We start from the raw sequence: 24,790 nt of genomic DNA, 5'->3' as shown, positions 1-24,790 counted from the left end.
CTTGAACCTGGGAGGCGGAGGTTGCAGTGAGCCGAAATCGCGCCATTGCACTCCAGCCTGGGCAAAAAGAGTGAAACTGCGTCTCAAGAAACAAACAAACAAAAATGGTGATTGGGTCATGAGGGCTCTGCTCTCATGAATGGATTAATCCACTGGTTAATAGATTAATGGGTTACTATAGGAATAGGTTAGTATTATGAAAGTGGGTCAGTTATAAAAGCCAGTTTGGGCTGGGTGCAGTGGCTCACACCTGTAATCCTAGCAATTTGGGAGGCTGAGGTGGGCGATCATGAGGTCAAGAGATTGAGACCATCCTGGCCAACATGGTGAAACCCTGTCTCTACTAAAAATACAAAAATTAGCTGGGCGTGGTGGCACGTGTCTGTAATCCCAGCTACTTGGGAGGCGGAGGCAGGAGAATTGGTTGAACCTGGGAGGTGGAAGTTGCAGTGAGCCAAGATCACGCCACTGCACTCCAGCCTGGTGACAGAGTGAGACTGTCAAAAACAAAAAAAAAAGAAAAGCCAGTTTGGCCCTGCTCTTGCCCCCTCACCATGTAATGCCCTGTACCATATTGGGACTGTGCAGAGTCCCCACTAGCAGATGATCCTAACCAGGTCTCCCTTGACCTTGGACTTCCCAGCCTCCAGAACCATAAGAAATAAATTGCTTTATAAATTGCCCAGTCTGTGGTATTCTGTTATAGCAATAGGAAACAAACTAAGACAGCTTCCAACCTAGTTTACCCACATCCACTCTTGCTTATCTTCAGTCTATTTACACTTAGCAGTCACTGTGTACTGTGCTTTAAAAATACAAGTTGGGTCATGTTGTCACACTTCTCTCCCAACTGAAAACCCTTCAGTAGTTATTTGTAGGATAAAGACCCAAATCCTTGACATACTCCACAAGGTACTCTGTGCCCTGGCCTCTGCCTAGTTCTCTAATCTTGTCTCATGTCACCCTTTCCTTTGCTCACCAAGCTCTGATAATACTGACCATCTTTCAAATGTTTGTTTTTGTCCTGCTCTTTCACACTTCTGGGCTTGATCATATTGTTCCTATGGCCTGAAATACTCACCTTCTTTTCCCAGTCATCCTTCAGAATTTAGCTTAAATGCCTGCCATTCCCTCTGGGAAACATTTCCTGGCTCCAGTCCCTAGGTTAGCTCCCCCAAGTTACTTTCCTTGTTTTCATAGAGACTATTGGGTATTCATCCAAATGTATTCTCCTCTTTTTTGGAGAACTGTATTTCTTAGACTGTCTTGCAGTCAGGTGGGGTCATGTGACTAAATTCTCCACAATAGGATATGAGCGGAAGCAATGTTCGTCCCTTCCAGATCTGGCCTATAGAATCCTCCCAAGAGTGCGCCTTTTGGGTCTTTCCCTTTCCAGCTTACTGGGGTAATATACCCAGAGCAACTGGAAAGCCATATGTTGAAATTGACACAGCCTCTATCAACATGGGCCCCTGAATAACCTCATGGAGGAGAGCCGCCTCACTGACCTGAACATCTTGCATAGGATTTTATCTTGAAGAAGAAATAAGTTTTCTAAGAAAGTGGGTTTCTTTGTTATCAGACCTCAGCCTACCCTCATTGATATCATAGCCTTTAAGATAATTGTAATTAAACAATTGTCAATTAGCTAACATTTCTCTCTGCTAATAGATTGTAACTCCGTGAAAGTAGGGAATATCTTGTTCACCACTTTTTCTCTAGGGTTCAATAAATATTTGAACGAGATGGCTCATCCGAGTTGCATGGAAAACTAGCGATGATGCAGGAGCATGCCTGGTCTGTAACGTTATTTGTAATTTCAGATATCGCTTTCTTAAGAAAAATTAGGTAGTGGCCGGCAGGCCCTTCCTGTACTGCAGACCTTCCCTTCTGCTTCATTTGAGTTTAATTTGCTCTTTTTAAATTATACTTTCTTAAGGTGGAAGCTTAGATTATTGATTTGAGAACTTTCTTCTGGCTTATATTGTTGTAATCAGAACATATTTTGTATCAGCTCAGTTCTTTTAAATATCCTTCTTCTTGGTGCACAAGTTCCATGTGCACTTGAAAGGTGTACAGTCATGCACTGCACAATAGTGTTTTGATAAATGACAGACCACATATATGGTGGTGGTCTCATAGAATTATAATAAAGCTGAAAAATTCCCATCATGTCGTGATGTCATAGCCATTGTACCACTGTAGCACACTGCATTACTCATGTGTTTGTGTCACGCTGGTGTAAACAAACCTATCACACTGCCAGTTATATAAACGTGTACAGCAGGCTGGGCGTGGGTGGCTCACGCCTGTAATCCCAACACTTTGGCTAAGGTGGGCAGATCGCTTGAGCCTAGGAGTTTAAGACCAGCCTGGGTAACATGGTAAAAACCCTGTCTCTATAAAAAATACAAAAAATTAGCTGGGCATGGTGGCATGTGCCTGTAGTCCCAGCTACTCAGGGGACTGAGGTGGGAGGATCACCTGAGCCTGGGAGGTTGAGGCTGTAGTGAGATCGTGCCATGGTACTCCAGCCTGGGTGACAGAGTGAAACCCTGTATTTAAAAAAAAAAAAAAAGTGTACAGCCATGTCCTAGGCCTTCACATTCATTCACCACTCACTCATCCAGAGCAACTACCAGTCCTGTAAGCTCCAATTATGGTAAGTGTCCTCTATAGGTGTACCATTTATAATTTTTATACTGTTTTTTTACTGTACCTTTTCTATGTTTAGATACACAAATACGATTGTGTTATGATTGCCTATGGTATTCAGTATGGTAATATGCTGTACAGGTTTACAGTCAAGGAGCAATAGGTTATACCATATAGCCCAGGTATGTAGTAGGCTATACCATCTAGGTTTATGCAAAAACACTTTATGATGTCCTCACAATGACTAAATCACCTAACAGACACATTTCTCAGAATGTATTCCCATTGTTAAGTAATGCATGGCTGTATTCTGTTGTTGGGCAGAGTGCTCTATAAATGTCAAGTAGGTCAAGTTGATTGCTAGTGTTGTTCAGTATATTCTGACCAGTTTTCTGTATGCTTGTTATATCGATTATTAAAAGTGTTGAATTCTCCAAATGTAATTATGGATTTGGATATTTCTCTATTCAGTTCTATCAGTTTTTCTTTTATGTATTTTAAAGCTCTGTTGTTAGATGTACATACATTTAGAATAGTTTTTTCTGTGGAAGGGATCGTAAAAAATGAAAAAATATAGAATAGTTTTGTCTTCTTGGTAATCTCTCTGTCATTACGTAATGCCTCTCTTTGTCTCAAGTAATATTCCTTGCTCTAAATTCTACTTTGTCTGATCTTATTATAGGCAATCTAACATTTTTTGGATTGGTTTTTGCATGGCATAATTTTTTTTATTCTACTTCTAACACATCTGATTTTATGTTTAAAGTGGGTTTTTTGTAGATAGCAGATAGTTAAGTTTCCATTTTTTTATCCAATTTGACAACCTCCTTTTATTTGGAGTGTTTAGGTCATTTACATGTAATGTGATTATTGATATGGTTGGTTTAAAATCTAGGATATTGCTACTTGTTTTCTACTTGTTCTGTTTGTTCTTTGTCCTTTTTGTTCTTTTTCCCTCCTTTTTTGCCTTCTTTTGGGTTATTTATTTATTTATTTATTTTGAGACGGAGTCTTGCTCTGTCGCCGAGGCTGGAGTGCAGTGGCGTGATCTCCGCTCACTGTAAGCTCTGCCTCCCGGGTTCACGCCATTCTCCTGCCTCAGCCTCCCGAGTAGCTGGGACTACGGGCGCCCACCACCACACCTGGCTACTTTTTTTGTATTTTTAGTAGAGACGGGGTTTCACCGTGTTAACCAGGATGGTCTCGATCTCCTGACCTCATGATCTGCCCGTCTCGGCCTCCCAAAGTGCTGGGATTACAGGTGTGAGCCACCGCGCCCAGCCTGGGTTGAGTATTTTTATATTAATAATTCCACTTTATCTCCACCATTGGTTTACTAGTTACACTGCTTTTGCTTTTCATTTTTTAGTGGTTGGCCCAGGCTCAAAATATATAACTCTTCACTAATTATGCTCTACCTTCAAATAATTTACCATTTCCCATGTATTGTTAAGAATTTTATACAAATATTTTTTCATTTCCCCACTCCCATCCTTTGTGTTAAATGGTTTTAATATTTTACTTCCACATATATTATAAGCCCCAAAATATACTGTCATTATTTTTGCTTTAAATAGTAATAGTAAACCAGGCCAGGTGTAGTTGCTCACACCTGTAATCCCAGCACTTTGGGAGGCCGAGGCAGCAGATAACTTGAGCCCAGGCATTCGAGACCAGCCTGAGCAACATGGTGCAACTCCATCTCTACAAAAAGTACAAAAATTAACCGGGCATGGTGTTGCGTGCCTGTGGTCCCATTTACTTGGGAGACTGAGGTGGGAGGATCACTTGAGTTCAGCAGGTTGAGGGCTTCAGTGAGCTGTGATCGTGCTACTGCACTCCAGACTCAGTGACAGAGACCCTGTATCAAAAAAAAAAAAAAAAAAAAAAAAAGAAGAAGAAGAAAACTATATATTTTAAACTACAGAATTCACTATACTCTTCATTCAGATTTTCCTATTGTTAGCTGACATAATCATATTACAGTTATCAAAACCAGGAAATTAACATTGGTGCAATACTGTTAACCAAACTACAGATCTTATTCAAATGTCACCAATTTCCCCACTAATGTTCTTTTTCTGTTTCAGAATCCTACAGCATTGAGTTGTTTCTTTAGTCTCCCTTAATCTGTAGAGTTTTTCATTCTTTCCTTTAGTCCATGACCTTGATATTTTGATGAATACTAGTCAATTACTTTTTAGAATGCCTCTCAATTTGAGTTTGTCTGATATCTTTTCATGATTTGATTGAGATGATGCATTTTTGGCAGGAATACCACAGAGCTGATGTTGTGTATTTTTCAGTGCATCATATCAATGTATCAGTGAATACATAATACTGAAATGTCTCATAACTGGTGATGCTAACCTTAATCACTTGGCTAAGGTGATTTCTTTGGAGTTTCTCCACTGTGAAGTAGTTACTATTTCCCTTCTTTGTAATTGATAAATATCTTTGGGGAGATACTTTGAGAGTATGCTAGTATCCTGTTTACCTTCAAACTTACTTTTACTGATTTTAATATCCATCAGTGGATCTTGTCTTTAATAATTATTACTGTGGTGTTTCTCTAATTGTGAGTTAGTATTTCTCTCATTCTTTCCACATTTATTAGTTAGAATTATTCTGTATACCAGTATGGACTCATGGATATTCTTTTTATTCTAAGGGTTATAATCCAATATGGGTACTATCATTATTTGTTGCTCATACTGTCCCAGCTCTGGCCACTGGGAGCTCCTTTTGGTTGGCATGTCCTTTCTGACATGCTCCCATCCTTTTTCAAGTACTTCTTCCTTTTCTGGCATCATAAGATGTTCCAGGGTTATCTTACATTTTCCCTGTCCCAGTCCTAGAACCAGTCTCTTCTCCAAGGAGCCCTGTTGTTTTGTTTTGTTTTTGATTAGAGAATGGTATTGAGAATCTGTATTAGTCCATTCTCACATTGCTATAAAGCACTGCCTGAGACTGGATAACTTATAAAGGAAAGAGGTTCAATTGACTCACAGCTCTGCATGGCTGGGAAGGCCTCAGGAGACTTAAAATCATGGTGGAAGGGGGAAGCAAACACATCCTTCTTCACATGGTGGCAGCAAGGAGAAGTGCCCAGCAAAAGGGGGAAAAGCCCCTTATAAAACCATTAGGTCTCTGAAAACTCACTCACTATCATGAGAAAAGCATGAGGGTAACCACCCCCATGATTAAATTACCTCCAGTGAGGTCCCTCCCATGACAGGTGGAGATTATGGGAACTACAATTCAAGGTGAGATTTGAGTGGAGGCCTAGAGCCAAACCATATCAGAATCCAAGATCTGGGTGGTAGCTGTGCTCAATGCTACTGGTGAGGTGGAGGAGGAACTCCCTTTTCTGTACTCTGCTATTATTTGCCTGGTCACTCTTCCAGTATTTTCAAAGTTAGAATTATTTAATATTTTGTCAGTCATTCAGATAATCCTTAGGCCCCTTTTCTAGTGTTCTTCTCTACTTCCTATATATTTTCTTCATGTGCCCTTTCTTCCCACAGAGCCTTACAGCTATAAGGGGGTGGAATGGTAGCATGACAGATCACATGCTAGAATTGGGAGATTTTTCTGTTTTCACTCACGGTTATCTTGCAGTTTAAACATTCTTTGTCTTCCAGCTATGCTGATGGTGTGGTTTGTGTAATACAATGTAGAGACCCTGACTACTCCAAGCTCATCATTGTGGACCTATCTGTGTATTTTCATTTCAGATGCTGTATTTGTCACTTCTAGAAATTTTTTCTTTTTGTCTTTTCTTATGGTTTGGAAAAGATAGTTTGGGAGATACTTAGCTTACCTTTTCCATCTAATGTCATTTTCCTTTTGCCTGAAGAACTTCCTTTAGTATTTCTTGAGCCCAGAGCAGCTGGCAACAAATTCTTTTATTTCTGTTGTTTAACAAAGTAGTTATTTTGCCTTCACTTTTGAAAGATATTTTTGCTGATTATAGAATTCTATGTTGACTGTGTTTTTTTTTTCCCTTTCAGTTATTTAAAGATGTTGCTCCATCATCTTCTGGCTTGCATGATTTCTGACATGGATTCTTTTGTCACCTTTTCTTTGCTTCTCTGTAGGCAATGGGCCTTTTTTTGTTTCCTGACTGCTTCTAAGATATTTCTCTTTATCAGTAGTTTGAAGTAATTTGGTTATGATGTGTCTTGTGGTTTTATTCATGTTTCTTTTTCTTGGAATTCATTAAGATTCTTAGATTTGTAATATTATAGTTTTTAAACCAAATTTGGAAAATAGCACATCATTATTTCCTGAAATATTTCTGTTTTCTGTCTTCTCTCCTTATGAGGCTCTGATTACATATATGTTAGACTGTTTAATATTGTTCCACTAGTCACTGATTCTCTGTTCATCTTTTTCAGTCTGTTTTCTCTGTGTTTCATTTTGTATAGTTTTTATTATTATGTCTTCAAGTTTAATTATCTTTTCTTCTGCAATGTCAAATCTGCCCTTCCATCTGTGTGGGTGTGGGTACGGCAATAGCTGTGAATGGATTTGTTATTTTAGAAGAGCATTCCTCATTGCCTTCTTGGATACCCATCTCAGCCCCATGCCTGTTCTCATACCCCCTCCCACTCCTTCTCATAGGGGTTGCTATTGACTCTTCTGAGAAGCCACCCTGGAGCTGGCTACCCGCAGCCCCTGACCAGCTATGGCTTGGGTATCCCCTATAACCCCACCAACATGACCCTCTAATGGGAGCTCATGGGTCACACCTTCTTCCAAGAGGATAGGTGGGCAACATACCCTTAGATTCCCAAAGGGAAAAGTCCCCAGCTGGGTTCCTATCACCCTCAGGTCTACCTAGAAAGCAATGTCTACCCAGTGCTAGTGGGGAATAGGTGCTGGGCCCAAGCAGAATCTCTGGGTCCACAACCAGATGCTTTTTGGTCATATGTACAGGCACTTTAATGAAGCAATACAATGTAGAGACCCTGGCTACTCTAGGCTCATCAATGTGGACCTGTCTGTGTATTTTTATTTCAGATGCTATATTTGTCACTTCTAGAAATTTAATTTGGTTCTCTTATATGTCTTTCACCTTTTCCTGCATGATGTCCATGCTCCTCTGTACCTTTTTGAACATATGGAGTATAATTATAATAAGTATTTTAATGTCTTTGTCTGCTAATTCAATCATCAGTGTCATTTTGGGGTATATTTCTATTGATTGATTTTTCCCCTGGTTGTGGGTCATATTTTTCTGTTTCACTGCATGCCTAGTGATTTTTTGTGAGTTATATGAGTTTCAATATAATTTACATGCCATCAAATCTCACATAACATAAAATTCATTGTTTAAAAATATACAATCCAGTGGATTTTAATATGCATATTCACAGGGTTGTTGAATCATTACCACTATTTAACTTAGAGCATTTTTGTCACACTAAAAAGAAACTCTGTACTTGATAGCAGTACTTCCAATTTCCCCCTCCTTTTATGCCCTAGCAATCACTAATCTACTTTTTGTCTCTGTGAATTTGTCTATTTTGGACATTTCATATAAATGGAATGATACAATATGTGGCCTTTGGTGTCTGGTTTCTTTAACTTAGCATAATGCTTTCCAGGTTCATCCATGTTGTAGTACGTATTAGTACTTCTTTCCTTATTATGGCTGAATCATATTCCATTGTATGATGATACCACATTTTTTTTTAATCCATGCATCATTTGATTAACATTTGAGCTGTTTCCACTTTTTGGCTATTATAAATAATGCTGCTATGAACATTTGTCTATAAATTTTTGTGTGAACATATGTTTTTAGTTCATTTGGGTATGTACCTAGGAGTAGCATTGCTGGAGTCATATGGTAAGTCTATATTTAACATTTTGAGGAAATACTGCCAGACTATTTTCTGAAGAAGCTGAACCATTCTAGATTCCCAGCAGCAATGTGTAAGGGTTCCACTTTCTCCACATCTTCACCAGCACTTGTCATTGTTTGTCATTTTGATTGTGGCCATTCTAGTGGATATGAAATGGTATCTCATTGTGGTTTTGATTTGCATTTTCCCTAACGACTAATGAGGTTGAGCATCTTTATATGTGCTTACTGGCCATTGGCATATATCTTCTTTAGAGAAATGTCTGTTCATATCCTTTGCCCAATTTTTAATTGAGTTGTCTTTTTATTGTTGATTTGTAAAAGTTATTTATATTTTCTGGATACTAGACCCTTATCAGATATATAACATGCAAATAATTTCTCCCATTCTATGTGTTGTCTTTTCACTTTTTAATAGTGTCCTTTGACTCTGAGAAGCTCAATTTATCTATTCTTTGACTTGTTGATTATGCTTTAGTTGTCACATCTAAGCAACTATTGCCTAGTCAAGATCACAAAAATTTACACCTATGTATTTTATAGTTATAGCTCTCACATTTAGGTGTTTGATCCATTTTGGGTTAATTTTTGTGTATGGTGTAAAGTAGAGTTTCAAATTCATTCTTTTGTATGTGGATATCCATGTGTCCTAGCATCATGTGTAGAAATTAGTATTCCTTTTTTATTGAATTGTCCTGGAATCCTTGTTGAAATCAGTTGACCATAGATGTATGGATTTATTTCTGGACTCTGAATTTTATTCCACTGATCTATATATGTCCATCCTTATGTCAGCACCACACTGTCCTAATTACTGTAACTTTGTAGTAAGTTTTGAAATCAGGAAATCAACTTTGTTTGCCTTTTTAAAGTTTGTGTTGGCTATTCTGGGTCCCTTGCATTTCCATATGAATTTTAGAATCAGCTTGTCCAGTTCTGCAAAAAAAAAAAAAAGGAGTTGGAATTTTGATAGGGACTGTACTAAATTTGTAATCCATTTGGGTAGTACAGGTTGAGTATCACTTATCTGAAATGCTTGGGACCAGAAGTGTTTCAGATTTCAGATTCTTTGGGATTTTGGAATATTTGCATATACATAATGAGATATCTCAGAGATGGGACCTAAGTCTAAACATGAAATTTATTTATGTTCCATATAAACATTACATACAGCCTGAAGGTATTCTTATACAATATTTTAAAATAAGATTGTGCATGAAACAAAGTTTGTATACATTGAACCATAAGAAAGCAAAGGTGTCACCATCTCAGCCACTCATGTGGACAATCTATGGTTGTTTGGCATTACCATCATGCTGTGTGCAGAAAAGATCTATCACAGCTGAAGGAGGCTGAGGGGTCTTTTCCCCTTGGTTACACTGAATATGTGTTCTGTGTCTGCGTTTTGACTATGACCCATAACATAAGGACAGGTATGGTGTTTTCCACTTGTGACATAATGTCAATGCTCAAAAAGTTTCAGATTTTGGAGCATTTCAGATTTTGGATTTTTGAATTAGAGATATTCAGCCGGTATTGCCATCTTAAAATATTAAGACTTCCAGTTCCTGAACACAAGATGTTTTGCCACCTATTTAGATCTTCTTTAATTTCTTTCAACGATGTTTTCTAGTTTTCAGTATACAAGTCTTGCACTTCTTTGGTTAAATTTATTTTAAGTATTTTATTCTTTTTGATGCTATTGCAAATGAAATTGCTTTCTTAATTTCATGTTATAGTTGTTATTGCTACATTTTTACATACATTTTGTGTACTGTTGTTGTGTCCTGCAACTTTACCAAGCTTGTTTATAGCTCTAATAGTTTATTTTTTGTAGATTCCTTAGGGTTTTCTATATATAATATCACACTATCTGTAAATAGAGATACTTTTACTTTTTCCTTTATGATCTGGATGCCTTTTATTTCTTTTGCTTGCCTAATATACTTGCCAGAATCTCCAGTGCAATGTCAAATAGGAGAGGAGAGAGCAGATGTGCCTGGAAATTTTTGACTGTGTACATTTTGGATTTTACTGTGTTGGGTGTTGGATTTTGCTGCATTCCTTTAATTATTGTTGGGCTTTGTTCTGGGATTGCAGTTAGGTTGCTTGAAATCAGTTTGATCCCTTTAAAACTTGTTTTTACACTTTGTTGACATGGGTTGACAGTCTTTGGTCTAGGGCTAATTTCACTCCACTATTAAGGCAATAGTTTTCTGAGGATTTTACCTGATGCCCTGTGTATACGGAGGTCTATTTCACTCTGGAAGCTGGGATTAAAAATTATTGCAGGCTCTGTGTGAGCTCTGGGGATTGTTTGACCTACTCCTTGCCCAGCCGTGGGCAGTTTCCTCACATGCATGTGAGGGTTAATGCTCAAAGATTGGAGTTGAAGTCTTCCTAATCTTATTCTAGCCTCAGGAAATAGAGAGATCTCAGCTATGCTTGTTACTTCTCTCCATTTTCTACAGGAGCTTGAACTAAAGTCAAGCTGATGTGAACATACTCTCCTGCCCTTCACTTCTTGGGTAAAGGTAATTGGGTGATTAGGGTAATCACCGGGTAATCAAGGATGTTTGCAAGCTTCTGCCCACAAAGAAAGCCAGGGTAGGGAGTAATGGAAATGGTGGGAGTGGTGGATGAGGCTGGTCTCAGACAATCAGGCATCTCCATCAGGCTTGAAGAGCAAGACAACCTTCCTCATTACCCCATACTTGGCAATGCTTCTCCTACTTACCTGCTGAGAACAAGAAAGAACCAGAGCAGGCCAGGACACACAGAAGGTTACAAATTCCTGGAATCCCTGGCTCCTGCCTGTGTTGCTACAACAGTGGGCTGCAGTTTCCTCATCTCTAAAATTCATAGAGCCAGACCAGAGGTACTCTAGACCTGGCCCCACTCTGGCAGTCTGGGGTTGTGAGTTTCCGAGCCCCTGGCCTCTACTCTCACTCTGAAACTGTAGGTGCAGGGCAGTGTCATTTGTCTCTAACCCAGTGAACATGCAGCTTAGCCCCAAGGAGCCCCTAAAGCCACATAAGAATGTCAGTAAGCAGCATGGTATTTCTGCTTGTCCTCATCACAGATGGAACATGAAAGAAACTAATGCTGATAGAAATGTCTGACTTTTTTTTAGAAAATTAACGGTTCTGGATAAATTATTGACTCTGTTTCAGGAGTGGTGAGGTGACAAGAAGGAGTGGCTCATTTGCATGATCTCCGGCTGCAATGGCAACCACACTCAAGTGGGAGTCCTGACTCTTCCACTGACTGCCTGTGTGACCCTGGGGAAGGTACTTAGCCTCTCTGAGTTGCTGGATTCTCATCTCTAAAACTGGATTTTAAAAAATCTGCTATCAACCTCACCTATGCTGGCTAGAAAAAGGCAGCATATTTCTCACCTATGCTGCAACCTCACCTATGCTGCAACCTCACCTATGCTGCAACCTCACCTATGCTGGCTAGAAAAAGGCAGCATGATTTTCAAACTTAGAAGAAATCTTATGTAGAATTTAAGCACACAGAAACATGCAGAAACTTATAGGTTAAAAAAAAAAAGAGGGAAAATACATTGATAAATAAATTGGGGTGAAGGAGCAGACCAAAGGTGGTCCTTGCAGTGAGAGATGATTGTACATAGCCCTGCTGGAATGTGGCAGGAGCTTGGCTGCAATGTGGCCAGGGGAGCCATTTCCACTGCTCCTGAGGGTGGGGCAGGATGAGCGAGAAGAGAGGCTGAGTAAGGGTGGAAGAGAAGAGCCCATGAAGGTTGGGGAGAAACACTCACCGTGTGTCAGGAACTAAGAAGCTTTTTAACTTGCTGGCAATAAGGTGTGGATGTGGTCTCTTTTCAGGACCTCAGTGTTTTCAGTAAGTTCAGCTGTTGGTGTGATGGACCAGGCAAGTATGTGTGATTATTTATTGGCTTATTTCTTTATTTATTATGTGGAAAAGGGGAGTTTCCATCGACTCAATGTGAGGTGGTGATGGCCCCCCTCAATGTGAAGTGGTGATGGCCCCAGGATCCCACAGCAGGGGAAGCTCTGGGAATTCCCAGAACCTGGGAGGAGCTGCTGGCTTCACCAAGCTGTGCAGCTGGGGGCTTGAGATGCCTCAGCTGGATGTCTTGAAAGGGTGTTGCTCCGCCTGGCCATGGGCAGATGGGGTTCGTGAGCTCCCCGGGACGTCGTCTGTCACTTTCTCCAGCAACTCCGGCTTCTTTGGAGTTGACAGCTGGCCTGGCCGTGGCAAACGCTCCCGTGCCTGAGGCCAAGTCCCTCTCATTGCCATCCCTGCTTGGATGGATTCCTATGGCTGCAGTGGGAGGGGGTGCAGGATGGCTAACGAGACCATGGAGAACTCCTGTCCTCTACATGGAGGGACAGGCCTCTCTCCACAGACTCCAGGGCCTGGGAGCGAGACCTGGAAGGCCAGAGGTCCCAGCTGGAGTGTGCAGGTGTGTGCATGTGCATGACCTGTATCTGCTGGGGAGTGAGTTGAGAATTACAGGTGTCCCTCTTTCAAGAAGTTCAGTTTCCTCATCCTCTCCTCTGAATCCCTCAGGGAGAGAGAAAATACCCGGCCTCCTTTCCTGGTGCTGGAATTCTCTCCCACTCAGGGCTTCCTAGATCTGGTCCCCAGATGCCTCTTGGAATATCTTAGTGGGAAAATGTATGATGAATGTCCCCAGGCCTGGAAGAACTGTGGAGCCTCAGAGCCACAGGTGAGAGGCAGCCTGATTCTGAGACAGGCCATAGACTTCGGAAACATCCTGCCCAGGGGTCAGTCCCAGCTCCAACTCTCACTTGCTCTGTGACCTTGGGCATGTCACTTAACGTCTCTCAGTTCTTGTTTCCTCCTCTGTAAAAACCTGATAGGTTGTGACGATGAAATTAACACGTGACAAAATGCCCTGTGAATTGCAGGTCCTGAAATGCTGGTTTTGTATCTGTTGCAGGTTAGGTTCTCAGGGAAGTAAATCTGAGACAGAGTTTAACACTCTGGTAGAGTTAATTAGGGAGCGCCCTTGGGATCAACAGCAGTGAGAAGGAGGGAAGGAGTCTGCTGCAGTGGGCAGAAGGGGAGGTTATCTGTGAGGCAGGCCCAATCACAGCCTTGCTTGATTCCCAGGGAGCTCTGGAGCCAAAATGGTCTCTTGCACCCTGTGCTGGACCTCCCCATGACAACACCTGGGTTCAGTGATTAGCTAAGAGGACTCACAGGACTCAGCATATAGTGGCACTCATGGCCGTGACTTGTTACAGTCAGAGGATACAAAATGAAGTCAGCAAAGGGAAAAGTCACAAGAGAAGTCCAGAGGAAACCAGGCACTAACTCCCGGGAGTGCTCTCCGAGCGGAGTCACGCAGGAAAGCATCATTCCTCCAGCAACAAGCTGTGCCTGCACGTGTCGAATGTTGCCAGTTCACTAGAGACTCAGGGCTTAGGGCTTTTGTCAGGACAGCGAAGGGCCAGGAACACAGGCACCCTCTGCCTGCCATGTACCTAAATTCCAGGCTCCCAGAAGGAAAGCAGGTGCTCAGCACACGTGGTATTGTCTGGACAGTATAGGCACAGTGAGACATTCTTATCAGGGAATGGTGGGAAACCTCCCCAAATCCAGGTTCCCAGATGCCAGCCAAGGGCCAACCTGGCCAGCAGGACTTTCTAAGGAGAGCAGTCTCATGTGGCTTTGCTAACACGTTTCTGCACAGTCCTCCACCTTGATCATTGGTCACTGGATGTGGTCCTCCTTGGGGAGAGGTGTGACCTTGTGTGTGGCTGCCCAGTACAGCTGAGGCCATCCCTGCAGGGGCTGACCACAAAGCTGCCTGCTCCCAGCTCTGCCAGCAAGATCTTCCTCTAAGGGGGACTCTGCATTTAAGTCTGCACCCCAGGCAGAGATGAATATGGCTGTAGAATGACAAGGATCCCTGCTGTTGGAAATCTGGCCACTCTAGGCCATATCACCTCCTGTGGACCCTGGAAAACTAAGCCACAAGGAAGCCACCTGAGAGGGGAGGGAATCTCTGACATTGTTCATCCATGAATCATTTACAGAATGTGCATAGGGCAGAGAGCTTGATGTTCAGAGTGGACAGTAAGATAGTGCTAGGGAGACAGCTTGTTGGTAAACACAGATAATTGTACTGGAGGATAATAGACTGAGAGGGAAGACATATTTGCTGAATTGAATTGATCCCATTGACCACCTTCCCCACTCTTAGTGCTGTGGGTTTAGAACCACAAATGGGACTTGATTTCTGCCCTTTGGTGCTCACTGGGCAGGCAGGGAGGGTGAGCTGTAATCAGAAAGATGTGATGATTGGAAAAAGTCAACCAGGGAGCAGGAGGTGGGGAGGGCCTGGGAGACCCCATGTCTAGTGGGAATGGACTGAGAGTTAACCAAGTGGACAAGGAGAGAAAGGGGATTTCAGAAATGGCCAACACAACAGACCTTCGGTAACTTGAAGCCCACGGAAACTGTGATCCCCAGTGTCGCTCTTTTAAGTAGTTTCTTCTAGATCAGGAAAATTTCCTGGAGTCATAGAATCTCAAATTAGAGAGAAACTTAAAAGACCCCTTAGCTGAGTGTGCAAGTCATTGGAAAGTATCTACTTGCACCACTCTGATGACAGGGAGCTCACTACCTACTGAGACCATGCATTTGTGTGGGTCACTCAACATGTTAGCAAAGTCTTCTGCAGAGCTGGAATCGATTTTCTCATTTCTCCCACTCATCGATCCTGATTTTATTCTTTGGATTAACCAAGAACAAGGGTAACTTTTTATGGAATCAAGAGGGTCTGTAGGTTTCCTATTGTTCTCTAAGCAGCTAGTCCTTCTGTCCAGTCTCATGAAGCAAGGCAGAGGCTGAGCTGTTCTGCAGGGAGATTCTATGATATAATGAAGAGATGCAGATTGAGACTCTGGAGCTAGATCGCCCGCACTGGAGTCTCACCTATGCCCCTTACTGTATGACCTTGGCAGGTAACCTCTCTGTGCCTCAGTTTCTTCATTGGCACAATGAGGGTAAGCATGGTAACCTACGTGATTGGGTGATGGTGAGGATTAATTGACTTAATACTTGGGAAGTGCTCAGAACAGTGCCAGCATATAGCTGGTACTCAGCAATGTAAGAGCTTCGGTTACTATTAAGAAACAACTTTAATTGCCTCCAGGACAAGTGCCACAGACCTACTACCTAAAATGAGATGGAAATGGCCTACGTGGATGGATGAGGATGGGGCTTTTACTTGTGAATCAAAGCCGCCAACCTCATTCATACGTATTGTCTCCACTATTATCCCTGCTTTTGTAACCTGTATGTCAGCCACTTGGCTGTCCCCACGCTCTCCTGTCATGGAGTCACCCTTTCCTATTTAATAAAAGTGCTGCACGTCCCCATTTCATGAATAACGGGAAACTTACAGCCTGATCCCCTCTACCACTGAGGCCCTAAAGCAACCACAGCTTTACGCTGTCACATGTTCTGCTGATGACAGGTGGATCATGGAGTGTATATTTGTGTTATGGCATGGCAGAGGGAACTTCAAATTAAATGTCACTCATTGGTCCCTAAAGATCCTGGCCACACCTTCCTTGGGAAAATTTCCCCCAGGCGTCTGGATCTCCCAGCTCCTCACTCTCCCTGGACCTCACATTTCTCCCTTTCTTTGTTTTCTCGGCCCTTCTACCTCTCTCCCGTGGGCTGCCCTCCTGAAGCTCAGGTTTCCTTCGCTGTCTTTAGCAGAGCAGCTTTTAGCTCTCCACATCTACTACTTGGGCTGGGACCCATTTTTGTACATCAAAATCACAGGCTGGACCCAGCAGAGGCCTGACCTGCCAATCTTCCCTTTACAATGATCAGTTTCTCCAGTGCGGCCACCCTCCCCCACCAGACTCCGCCAGTGAAAGGCATCTGGGCCACGATGTAGTCTTTCTCTGATATAAATTATTCCACATCCCTGCCCCCTTTAAAGGCAGATGGAGTTACTGTCTTTTACTTTTTAAAGCAATTTAAAATCTTGCCTGCTAAGCCTGGAAGGTCTTCTTTTCTTCTCCCTGGCTCCTCAAATTCTGCCTGTCTCCCTCTAGGAATGAGCTCAGAATCTTCCTCCTCTAGGCAGCTTCCCTGATCGAGTGGCTTTGAATCTTGTGGCAAGGCCCCCATTTGGCCATGACCTACCTGCCACCTGAAGTTAATATCATTCCCAAGCTTTGTTGCCCCAATTATTGTAGAATGCCCTTTCCCAGAAGTCTCAGGAGACTTAAAGTTCGCTGGAGGGTGGCCTGGGTGCAGGAGGAGCAAGGCATCAGAGAGGCCTGCATTTATTCCTGCCTTCCCCGTCCGCTGGCTGTGTGGCCCTCCCTCAGTTACTTAACTTCTCTGAACTCAGTGTTCCCATCTGGAAAAGGGGGAAAGAATGCCTGCATCACACCATTGCTGTGAGAATTAAAAGAGGTCAAGTGTGTCAAATGCCCCGCAGAGTCTGGTACATGGGAGGGGCTTGATCAATGTTGAATTCTTTCCTTCCTCTAGAAGAACCCACAGGATAAAGGGGCAGGGAGAACAGGAAACTGGCTTCAGATGGTGCCCTAGGGGGACTAAAAACTGAAGGGAAGATGTGCTTACTGAAAAAATGGGGTGGTTGGGTAAATGGGTGAGAATAAGACACACTGGATCCGGAAGGCCACGTGACAAAGCCTGTGGGGCCCCTGCAGGGAGCTGAATGCGGCAGAAAAGACCGCAGCTGGCTTCCTTTCTTCTTTGTGGCCCAAATTGAAGAGGACACTGGATTCCTCTGATGGAGTTCTGCTCCCTAGAGCTGATGCTGCAGATGCTGCTCTCAGGGTCCTTGGGCTTGCCCCCAGCCAATGGGAAAGAGAGGTCAAGACTGTGCTCAGCTTGGTGGACCTGAGACATCGAGGATCCTTCTGAAAGGATGGCCTGAGGCTTGGAGCGTCAGAGGAAGTCTGGGGCCAACTCTGCCTCTCTGAGCTTCAGTTTTCTCTTCTCTGCAACAAGAGCATTGGGCTGTATAATCCCTAGAAGGAGACCCTTCTGCTCAGTAAGCTCAGTTTAGCTCTGTGTGTGTGCGTGTGTCTGTGTGCATGTGTGTGTCTGTGTGTGTGTGTGTGCATGTGTGTGTCCTTTGAGGTCCCTGAGCACTCAAATGTAGCTAATTCAGACTCCATTGATTCTGAACGTATAATTTTTTTGACTTGGACTAGGCTGGAAGCTACTTTTGCATAATTCACACACAAAAAAACTTGATACGCTCATGAATAGTGTTGCTGTGATGATGGAAGAATCATTTCCATGACACCGGGCTGCCTCTCATCAAATGCCTTTCAGATTCAAGCAACAAAGATGGAGCTCCCTCTTCCTGCCAGGCACCCCCCCGGCCCTACAACCCCTAGACTCTCTTGAGCCTTCCCATTTGTGTCCTAGGAGACTTTCCTGAGCTCCACCGTCCAACTCACTAATTGGATCTTCACTGTGCTCATTCCTTTATGCAGTCTGTCCATTATGATTTTAATTCTTATAAGCATATTTTAAAGTTTGAGAATCGTGGCTTTGCATTGCAACTTGTGATTCTTTATTTGTGTATCATCATCGTGAATCTTCCTGAGAATATTCATTACTATTTTTACTTCGTTGTCTGTTTCCTCTGCTGATGCTCTTCCCTTGGGTGTTCATCCTTTGCGTGAGCTCAGGGATTACGTTGCTGGTTTTTCTAATGCTTGGTGATTCTTCATCGTCTATTCACGTTTTTCAATTTGTACTCGAGAATCCCTGTTTGTTTCTCCTGCAACTCCTCACGTCTTGGGCTGTGATTTTTCTCTGTTTTTGTTCCTCTGTCAGCTCAGTTCCTACTGCTTTCTATCTTCCAGGAATTCCTCAATATTTCTGGTCTGCTTAGCTCCACTTCCTCTCCCTCCCTGCTCCTTGTTCCCTCCGCACCTCCCCTGTCCCTGCTTCCTTCCTCTTTGCAGTGCTGGCAATAGACAGATTCTTTTCTTTCCTTCCTTCCTTCCTCCCTTCCTTCCTTCCTTCCTTCCTTCCTTCCTTTCTTTCTCTCTTTCTTTCTCCTCCTCCTCCTCCTTCTTCTCCTCCTCCTCCTCTTTCCTCTTCTTCCCCTTCCCCCTCCCCTTCACCTTCCTCTTCTTCTTCTCCTCCTCCTCTTCCTTCCCCTCCTCTTCTTCCTTCTGTTGTTTTTCCTCCTCATCCTTCAAAATGCATGATTTCAGTAACTGCAGGAGACTTTGGCTGGAGGAGGAAGACATGGCCATGCTCATTGTGAATATCTCTGGCTAAGCTCCTTTGTGTCTCTTCACATTCCTTAGAATAATCCACAAGATGGTTATCATTTCCTGCTTTTTATGGTTAAAGAAACAGAGGGTTTGGATGACTTCCTTGGAAGGTGATGAGAGTAGGCAACAGCTTGGAATCAGCTCCTCAGGATCCCAGTTGAGTCATTTTTTTTTTTTTCCTTCTTCCACCTTTCTGAAATCCCAGACATCTTTTAACCTGCTCCCAGTGGTAGGAGAGCCTGGTTAGAATCAGTGGTCAGCGTGCATTTGGGTGCAAAAGAGCAACAGGACGCCATGTGTTCTCTGTAGAAGCTGCCCAGGAAGATCCTCCTGTGCTGTTTTGGTAGCAGAGAGAGGGCTCAGGTTTGCACCTGCTACAAACCTACTTTTACTTAGAACTAGGCCAAGGTTTAGATTATTCAACAACTCGTACAGACTTTATCCTCCAATAAACTTTAACTCCTGATGATTGGACTAAATTGTCTGGCTTATTAAACTATTTATTGATTTTTTTCCAGGCAGTAGTTCTTAATAAAGTAAATTCCTAATTAAGTAAAAAAAGTTGTATAGTCAAGATGTGGGGTACAATCTGGAAATCACTTTTCAGAAATGCTGGGGCACAGGAGCAGCCATTTCTACTCTGGAACCGAGACTTTCAAACAAATGAGGGGAGTTAGAATATGTCCAGGGGGCCAGGAGGCAGTGACTGGGACCCCTGAAGGCTGGGACCTGAGAAGTAGGAGAGAATCAACTCCCTGACACCCTGGGTTGTGCCCAGTTTAGGTTTCTCACCAGTCAGTGAGTACATTTTTCAAAGGGCACTTTGAGCCTTGTGTGAGGCCCTTGTCCTAAGTTCCTAGGAAAGTGGCCTGGGGAGTAGTACACGGGCCCTTGAAATAAGCCGTAGTCACCGGGAAGCAGCTGGTCCAAGGGTGGTGGAAAGAGGCACAGCTGCCTGGGAGGACGATAGCAGAGGGGCTGGGGAGAGTGTAAGCTGGAGAAACAGATTTCTGTCATATTGTGGTGGCAACAGGGCCCTGGCCTTCAGGAAGGGTGGGACCTGGGACCTAGAGCCCAGGAAGGGAGCTGGGTGGGGTACAAATCCAGAAACCTGTGGTTCGTACCCAAGTCACTGCTGGTGCTGTGGCTGGTAGGGTCTGGGAATCTGGCATCACGAGAGACAGAAGTGTGAAGAAGCAGAAGCCTACTCCATTTGTCCCCTTGGCGTCTCCCCACCATCTGCTCTATGGCTCCTGAGCAGAGGGCTGGATGCCACCTCCATGGCTGCCTGTGGGAAACTGATCATGGTCCCTCCTCTCCTGGACTCGCCAGCTACCAGGGCCACTTGCCTGGGATAAGAGGATTGTTGTGTCGGGCCTGGATATGAGGCCCCAGTGTCCTGCCCTACAGAGACTGGCTTTTCTGTGGACCCACACACAAAGTCTTCATGGGCTAGGCTGAATCAGGTGCCAGGTGCAGGCAGAGGCATGTAGGCAACAGGTGTGCTCTGAGGTGGGTTACAAAGTTCAAAGAAAATCATCACTATTCATAGCCATTCAAAAAAGGAATGATGCCAGGGCAAGGTGCTGTAGGGCAGATGTACACATGTGTGGGCACCACCTCCTGGGATCTAACTCCATACTGGAGTGGGGACTTCAGGGATGATATTGTCCCATGAGGTCAAGGGCCAGCCCCTGCCCCAACCTCTATCCTCTATCCTATCAGTCTGGAGGGTCCCCAAGGGCAGGTGCTGTCTGTCTCCCCTCTCTCCATCTGACAGACAGTTTGGGCTTTTCCAAGGGCATAGTCAGTGTCTTCTCCACAAGACCGGGAGCTTCAGAAGGTCATATGTCTTCAACAAATTGGAGAGCTTCCCAAGGGTGGGAAGTGCTCTCTTCCCTGGGAATTTTTCCAAAATAAGGACAGTGTCTTTCCAACAAAGCAGGTGCCACTGAGTCCCAGTGCCACATTTTTCACTGTTTCCTAGTGTCCAGGACTGATCCCTGCACACAGCGGATCCTCAGAGCTTACTGTCGACTGCCTGGGACCCCTGCAGGGGGCTTGGTGCTGAATTGGAGATGCTCCTGCCCTTTGGTCACCTGATGCAGGTGCTTTCCTCAGATCTACCTCCCTCAATAACCTTGACCTTCCACCTCCATGGGTTCTTCAGAGTGCAAATGTTCTCAGGAAAAAGGACAGTGCTCAGAGCTTGTCAAGAGAATTACACGTATGGTTTTAACTTAATCTTCTTCGAATGAAAGTGTGTGTTCCAGGACCTTACCTTAGCCCTGGGAATTACTGAGCAGCCATTATATAATTCATTAGTTTGCTAACAACCTCTCAAGAGCTCCCCACCTGTGATGCTGTGACTGATGCTCTGACAAGTCACCCCAGAGCCTATTTAATTTATTCTGAAAGGCTGTGTGTGTGTGCATGTGTGTGGTCTTCAAGGTAATGACAGACACAGGCAGTGGAAGGGAGGCAGGAATAACTGAGTGTCAGGAAGCAGGATTCCAGTCCCACTAGTTGTGTGATCTTGGACAAGGTACTTGGTCCATTTTGGCCCCAGTGAGTTTACAGCCTGGAAACAAACCAACCAGCCTTCTGATCAGCCTTTCTTTTAACAGACTTTTCCTCACCTTTACCTTAATCAGAGAAAATGGAAAGCAAAAATGACTGTTTTCCTTCCTTCCTTCCCTCCCTCCCTCCCTCCCTCCCTCCCTTCCTTCCTTCCTTCTTTCCTCCCTCCCTCCCTTCCTCTCTTTCTCCCTCCCTCCCTCCCTCCCTCCTTCCCTCCTTCCTTCCCTCCCTCCTTTCTTTTTGGAGGAGGGAGAGGAAATTAAGCTCTCCAGGTCTTGGTCCCTAATTTTCCTCGGATAAAAAGCAGAGGGGAAGATGTTTGAGATGAGAAAGCCAATGCAAGTGTCTGGTGCAGGTCCTCATGGTGTCGCTGGCACTCAAGCCTGGATAAAGTTGCTTATTCCATTCGGGCCAGATCACACAAGGTCCAGGGAGTGAGGGCCACCTGTTACGAGGTCCAGAGTTGACCACACATTGAATCTGAAAGACTTAGACTCTGAGTCCCAGGACAAGGTGGAAACACAGCGTCTCCTGTCCTGTTTTGTCTCGTTACTGATTGAGCTCCCCAAGGTCCGTTTGTCTCTCCCAAGCTCTGCTTCAGTGTCCACAGCTCACCGTGCTGGTCAGTGCCTCACATGGGGGTGCCAATGCCCGCTGGCTGAGGGAACAGGCAGATTTGAGTTTGAATCTCAGCTCTGCATTTAGTGTTTGATCCTTTACTATTTATTCAAGCTTTCTGAGCCACAGTTTCCTCACCTGTTTATCACTAGGTGTCCAGTGGGGACTGAATGGAAACTTTAAGCTGGAAGAAATATCATTTTAGAGACACTAAGCCATCTGCCTCCTAGAGTGGGCACTGTGCGGGCCGCTTTAAGCCAGGGCCACCAGCACTCAGCGATCACAGGGTGCTTCCAGCTGGCATCAAGTGTTCTTTTCTGTATCTCCCTTGGCGTGGAGCTGCTGTCCCATGGAGTTAAAGAAAACCATGCCCCTCTAAATTTGAGGAAGTGTGTTCCCTACCTAGAAGTTATTATTTATCTTAGGGACATGTTTGATGGTGTTTGGGTGTATGTATGGAGCATGTGTGTGTGAGTGTGTGTCTCCATGTGTGAGTGTGTTTGTGTGTTTGTGTCTGAGTGTCTGTGTGTGTCTGTGTATGTGGCTGTGTGTGTCTGTGTGTCCGTGTGTGTGTCTGTGTGTGTTGTGTATCTGTGTGTCTGTGAGTGTGTGTTTATGTGACTGTGAGTGTGTTTGTGTGTGTCTATGTGGCTGTGTCTATGTCCGTGTGTGTGTGTCATGTGTCTGTGTGTTGTGTGCCCGTGTGTGTCTGTGTGTGTCAGTGTATGTCTGTGTGTGTGTGTGTCTGTGTGTCTGTATCTGTGTGTGTCTGTTCTTGTCTGCACTTTTGTTCCCAGGAGATGTGAGGTGAAGACCTCACCAAAGTAGGAGTGGCGTGTGGGCTGGGCTTTGGCCCTTCGTGCTGGAAGTGATGGAGAGGCATGGCCTGGCTTGGCACAGCTCTGCCTTGCCTGTGCTGCCAGCCTCTTGTGAGAGATGCCATGTGGAAGGGATTTGGGACAATGCACAGTGCACTCTTCTGAGTGTTTTGTCTGGGCTAAAACTCTGCAGAGTATAGCTGTGGCTCTGAAACAAATAGAGGCTGGCCTTGTCAATTGTTTTGGGGTGAAGTTAATCCGGGGTAAGAGTCAGAGGCAGTCTAGAAGGCAGGGCATAAACTAGCCAGATGAAGGCCTTGGCTGGGAGTTGGGTTTATACCCCTAGGCCTAAGGAGTAGCCACTGCTAACAAGAGTTGTAGTTTTTCCTCTGGGTTGCAATTCTCTTCTCTTGCCTCCAAGCCTCCACTCAGGTAACCTGGCAGTGGGGAAATTGAGAGGTGCAGTGTCCACTCACTAATGATGAAGGTGAGATGTGGATGCATGGAGCACATTTTAGAAAAGCCCTGGCCTTTTATAAGGACCTGGGCCTTCCAGTATTTTCCTTGCCATCTCACCACCTGCTAACACATGCTGTGCACATAGGAGGTGCCAGGAAAATGTGTGTTATTCGAATGGAACTGAGAAACCGTTCTAGTCTAAACCCTGAGGCCCCCTGGCTTGCCCCCTCCTACCATGCCCATCTAGTTTTCAATGCCAAGCTCTCACGTCAGGGTTTTTCATCTCCATCTTCCTGTTGTTCACTTTAGGGGAAGGGTCCTGCTTGGACTATTGCAGTAGCCTCCAAGTAGCTTGAACTTTGCTCAGACTCTCCCCTCCCCAATCTGCTAAGCAGATTGTTGACAAGATTCTCTGCAGTTTGCTGCTTTGATGATGTCCCTCTCCAGCTCCAAATTGTTACTGGCTCTCCATTGACTACAGGTAAAATGCAGACTTCTCAGCCTGATCTTCCACAATCTGACGTCAGCCTACCTCCTCATCCTGCCTGGGCCTGGAGGCATGCCAGCCAATTCAGACCACTTGCCATTTTTCTTTTTCTCCTCTGCATCTGGAATTGCTGTCAGTGAAACCTTCTCTTTCCCTCAAGGAGCACCTTGAATGCTGGCCCCACATCACCTTCCTGACCCTGTCAGCTCAAAGAGGTTTCTCTGCATCTGAACTCCATGTGTTCCAGTCTCTGGGTCCTTACCATGCACTGCTGGGGCATGCTGTGTGCTGGCCGCCGTCCCTCCTCATGCTCAGAAGCAGAGCCTATGACTTAGTCACTTTGGTCTCCCCAGCGCCCAGAGCAGATATTTGCACAGAAGAGGAGCTCAATAAATGTTTGTTTAATGAATGAATATATAATTCTAACCCAGTGCCCTGCTTTCTTACAGTGACATTCAAGTCATCCTAGGCCAAAAAAAAAAAAAAATGCCTATTTACCTTCCAAAATTACCTCTCATATTGGTCAAAATTAAAATAAACACTTGGCGGATTAAGACCTGGCCTGTCATATTGTATCTGACACCATTAAGAACCAAGGTTGGGGTGCCTCACGGTTGACTTCCACTGATCTAAGATGTCAACAACAATGTCACCTGCCTGATAGGGTGACATCTGAGCTCCAAGGCATGCACTCCTGTCCTTTGGGCGCTCACCCCCGGCTTCATGCACCCTGTGCCCTGGGTCAGTGCCTGCCTCTCTGATTCAAGCCTTCTTCTGGGCGACTGGGCCTTTGATCTTGGGTTATGTTCCTGTTTTGCTTTCACTTTCCAGCTCTTATCTGCTAGAGTGCTTTGAGTGTAAGCAACAGGAAGTCCTGTGGCTAATGTAGGCGTTAAGGAGTTTATTGGAAGCATGTAGCAGAGCCCATGGAACTGAATGGAGGGCAGAGAACCAACTCAGAGCAATTAGAATTGGGATCACAAACAGG

The 24,790-nt window shown here is 44.3% G+C and overlaps 1 long non-coding RNA gene across 2 annotated transcripts, besides 2 other annotated features; it reads left to right on the top strand.

The window, feature by feature from the left end:
* Positions 17,197 to 17,366: an enhancer, noted in NCBI's record as "active region_9699". NCBI's record gives its function as "activates an Ori minimal core promoter by ATAC-STARR-seq in GM12878 lymphoblastoid cells {active_cell/tissue: GM12878}" and the evidence as "EXISTENCE:reporter gene assay evidence [ECO:0000049][PMID:35858748]".
* On the top strand, positions 17,284 to 24,358 carry LOC107984781 (uncharacterized). 2 transcript variants are annotated; one of them, XR_007064698.1, is made up of 2 exons: positions 17,284 to 17,594; positions 23,797 to 24,358. It is a non-coding gene; the product is annotated as an uncharacterized LOC107984781 (long non-coding RNA). The 2 variants fall into 2 exon arrangements; XR_001751594.2 differs by having other exon boundaries at positions 23,625 to 24,358.
* Positions 24,524 to 24,573: an enhancer, noted in NCBI's record as "active region_9698". NCBI's record gives its function as "activates an Ori minimal core promoter by ATAC-STARR-seq in GM12878 lymphoblastoid cells {active_cell/tissue: GM12878}" and the evidence as "EXISTENCE:reporter gene assay evidence [ECO:0000049][PMID:35858748]".

Source organism: Homo sapiens, chromosome 15 (assembly GCF_000001405.40).
Source record: "Homo sapiens chromosome 15, GRCh38.p14 Primary Assembly".
Classification (NCBI taxonomy): domain Eukaryota; kingdom Metazoa; phylum Chordata; class Mammalia; order Primates; family Hominidae; genus Homo; species Homo sapiens.
The sequence above is the reverse complement of the archived record's forward strand: the minus strand, read 5'-3'. Positions and strand labels throughout refer to the sequence as shown.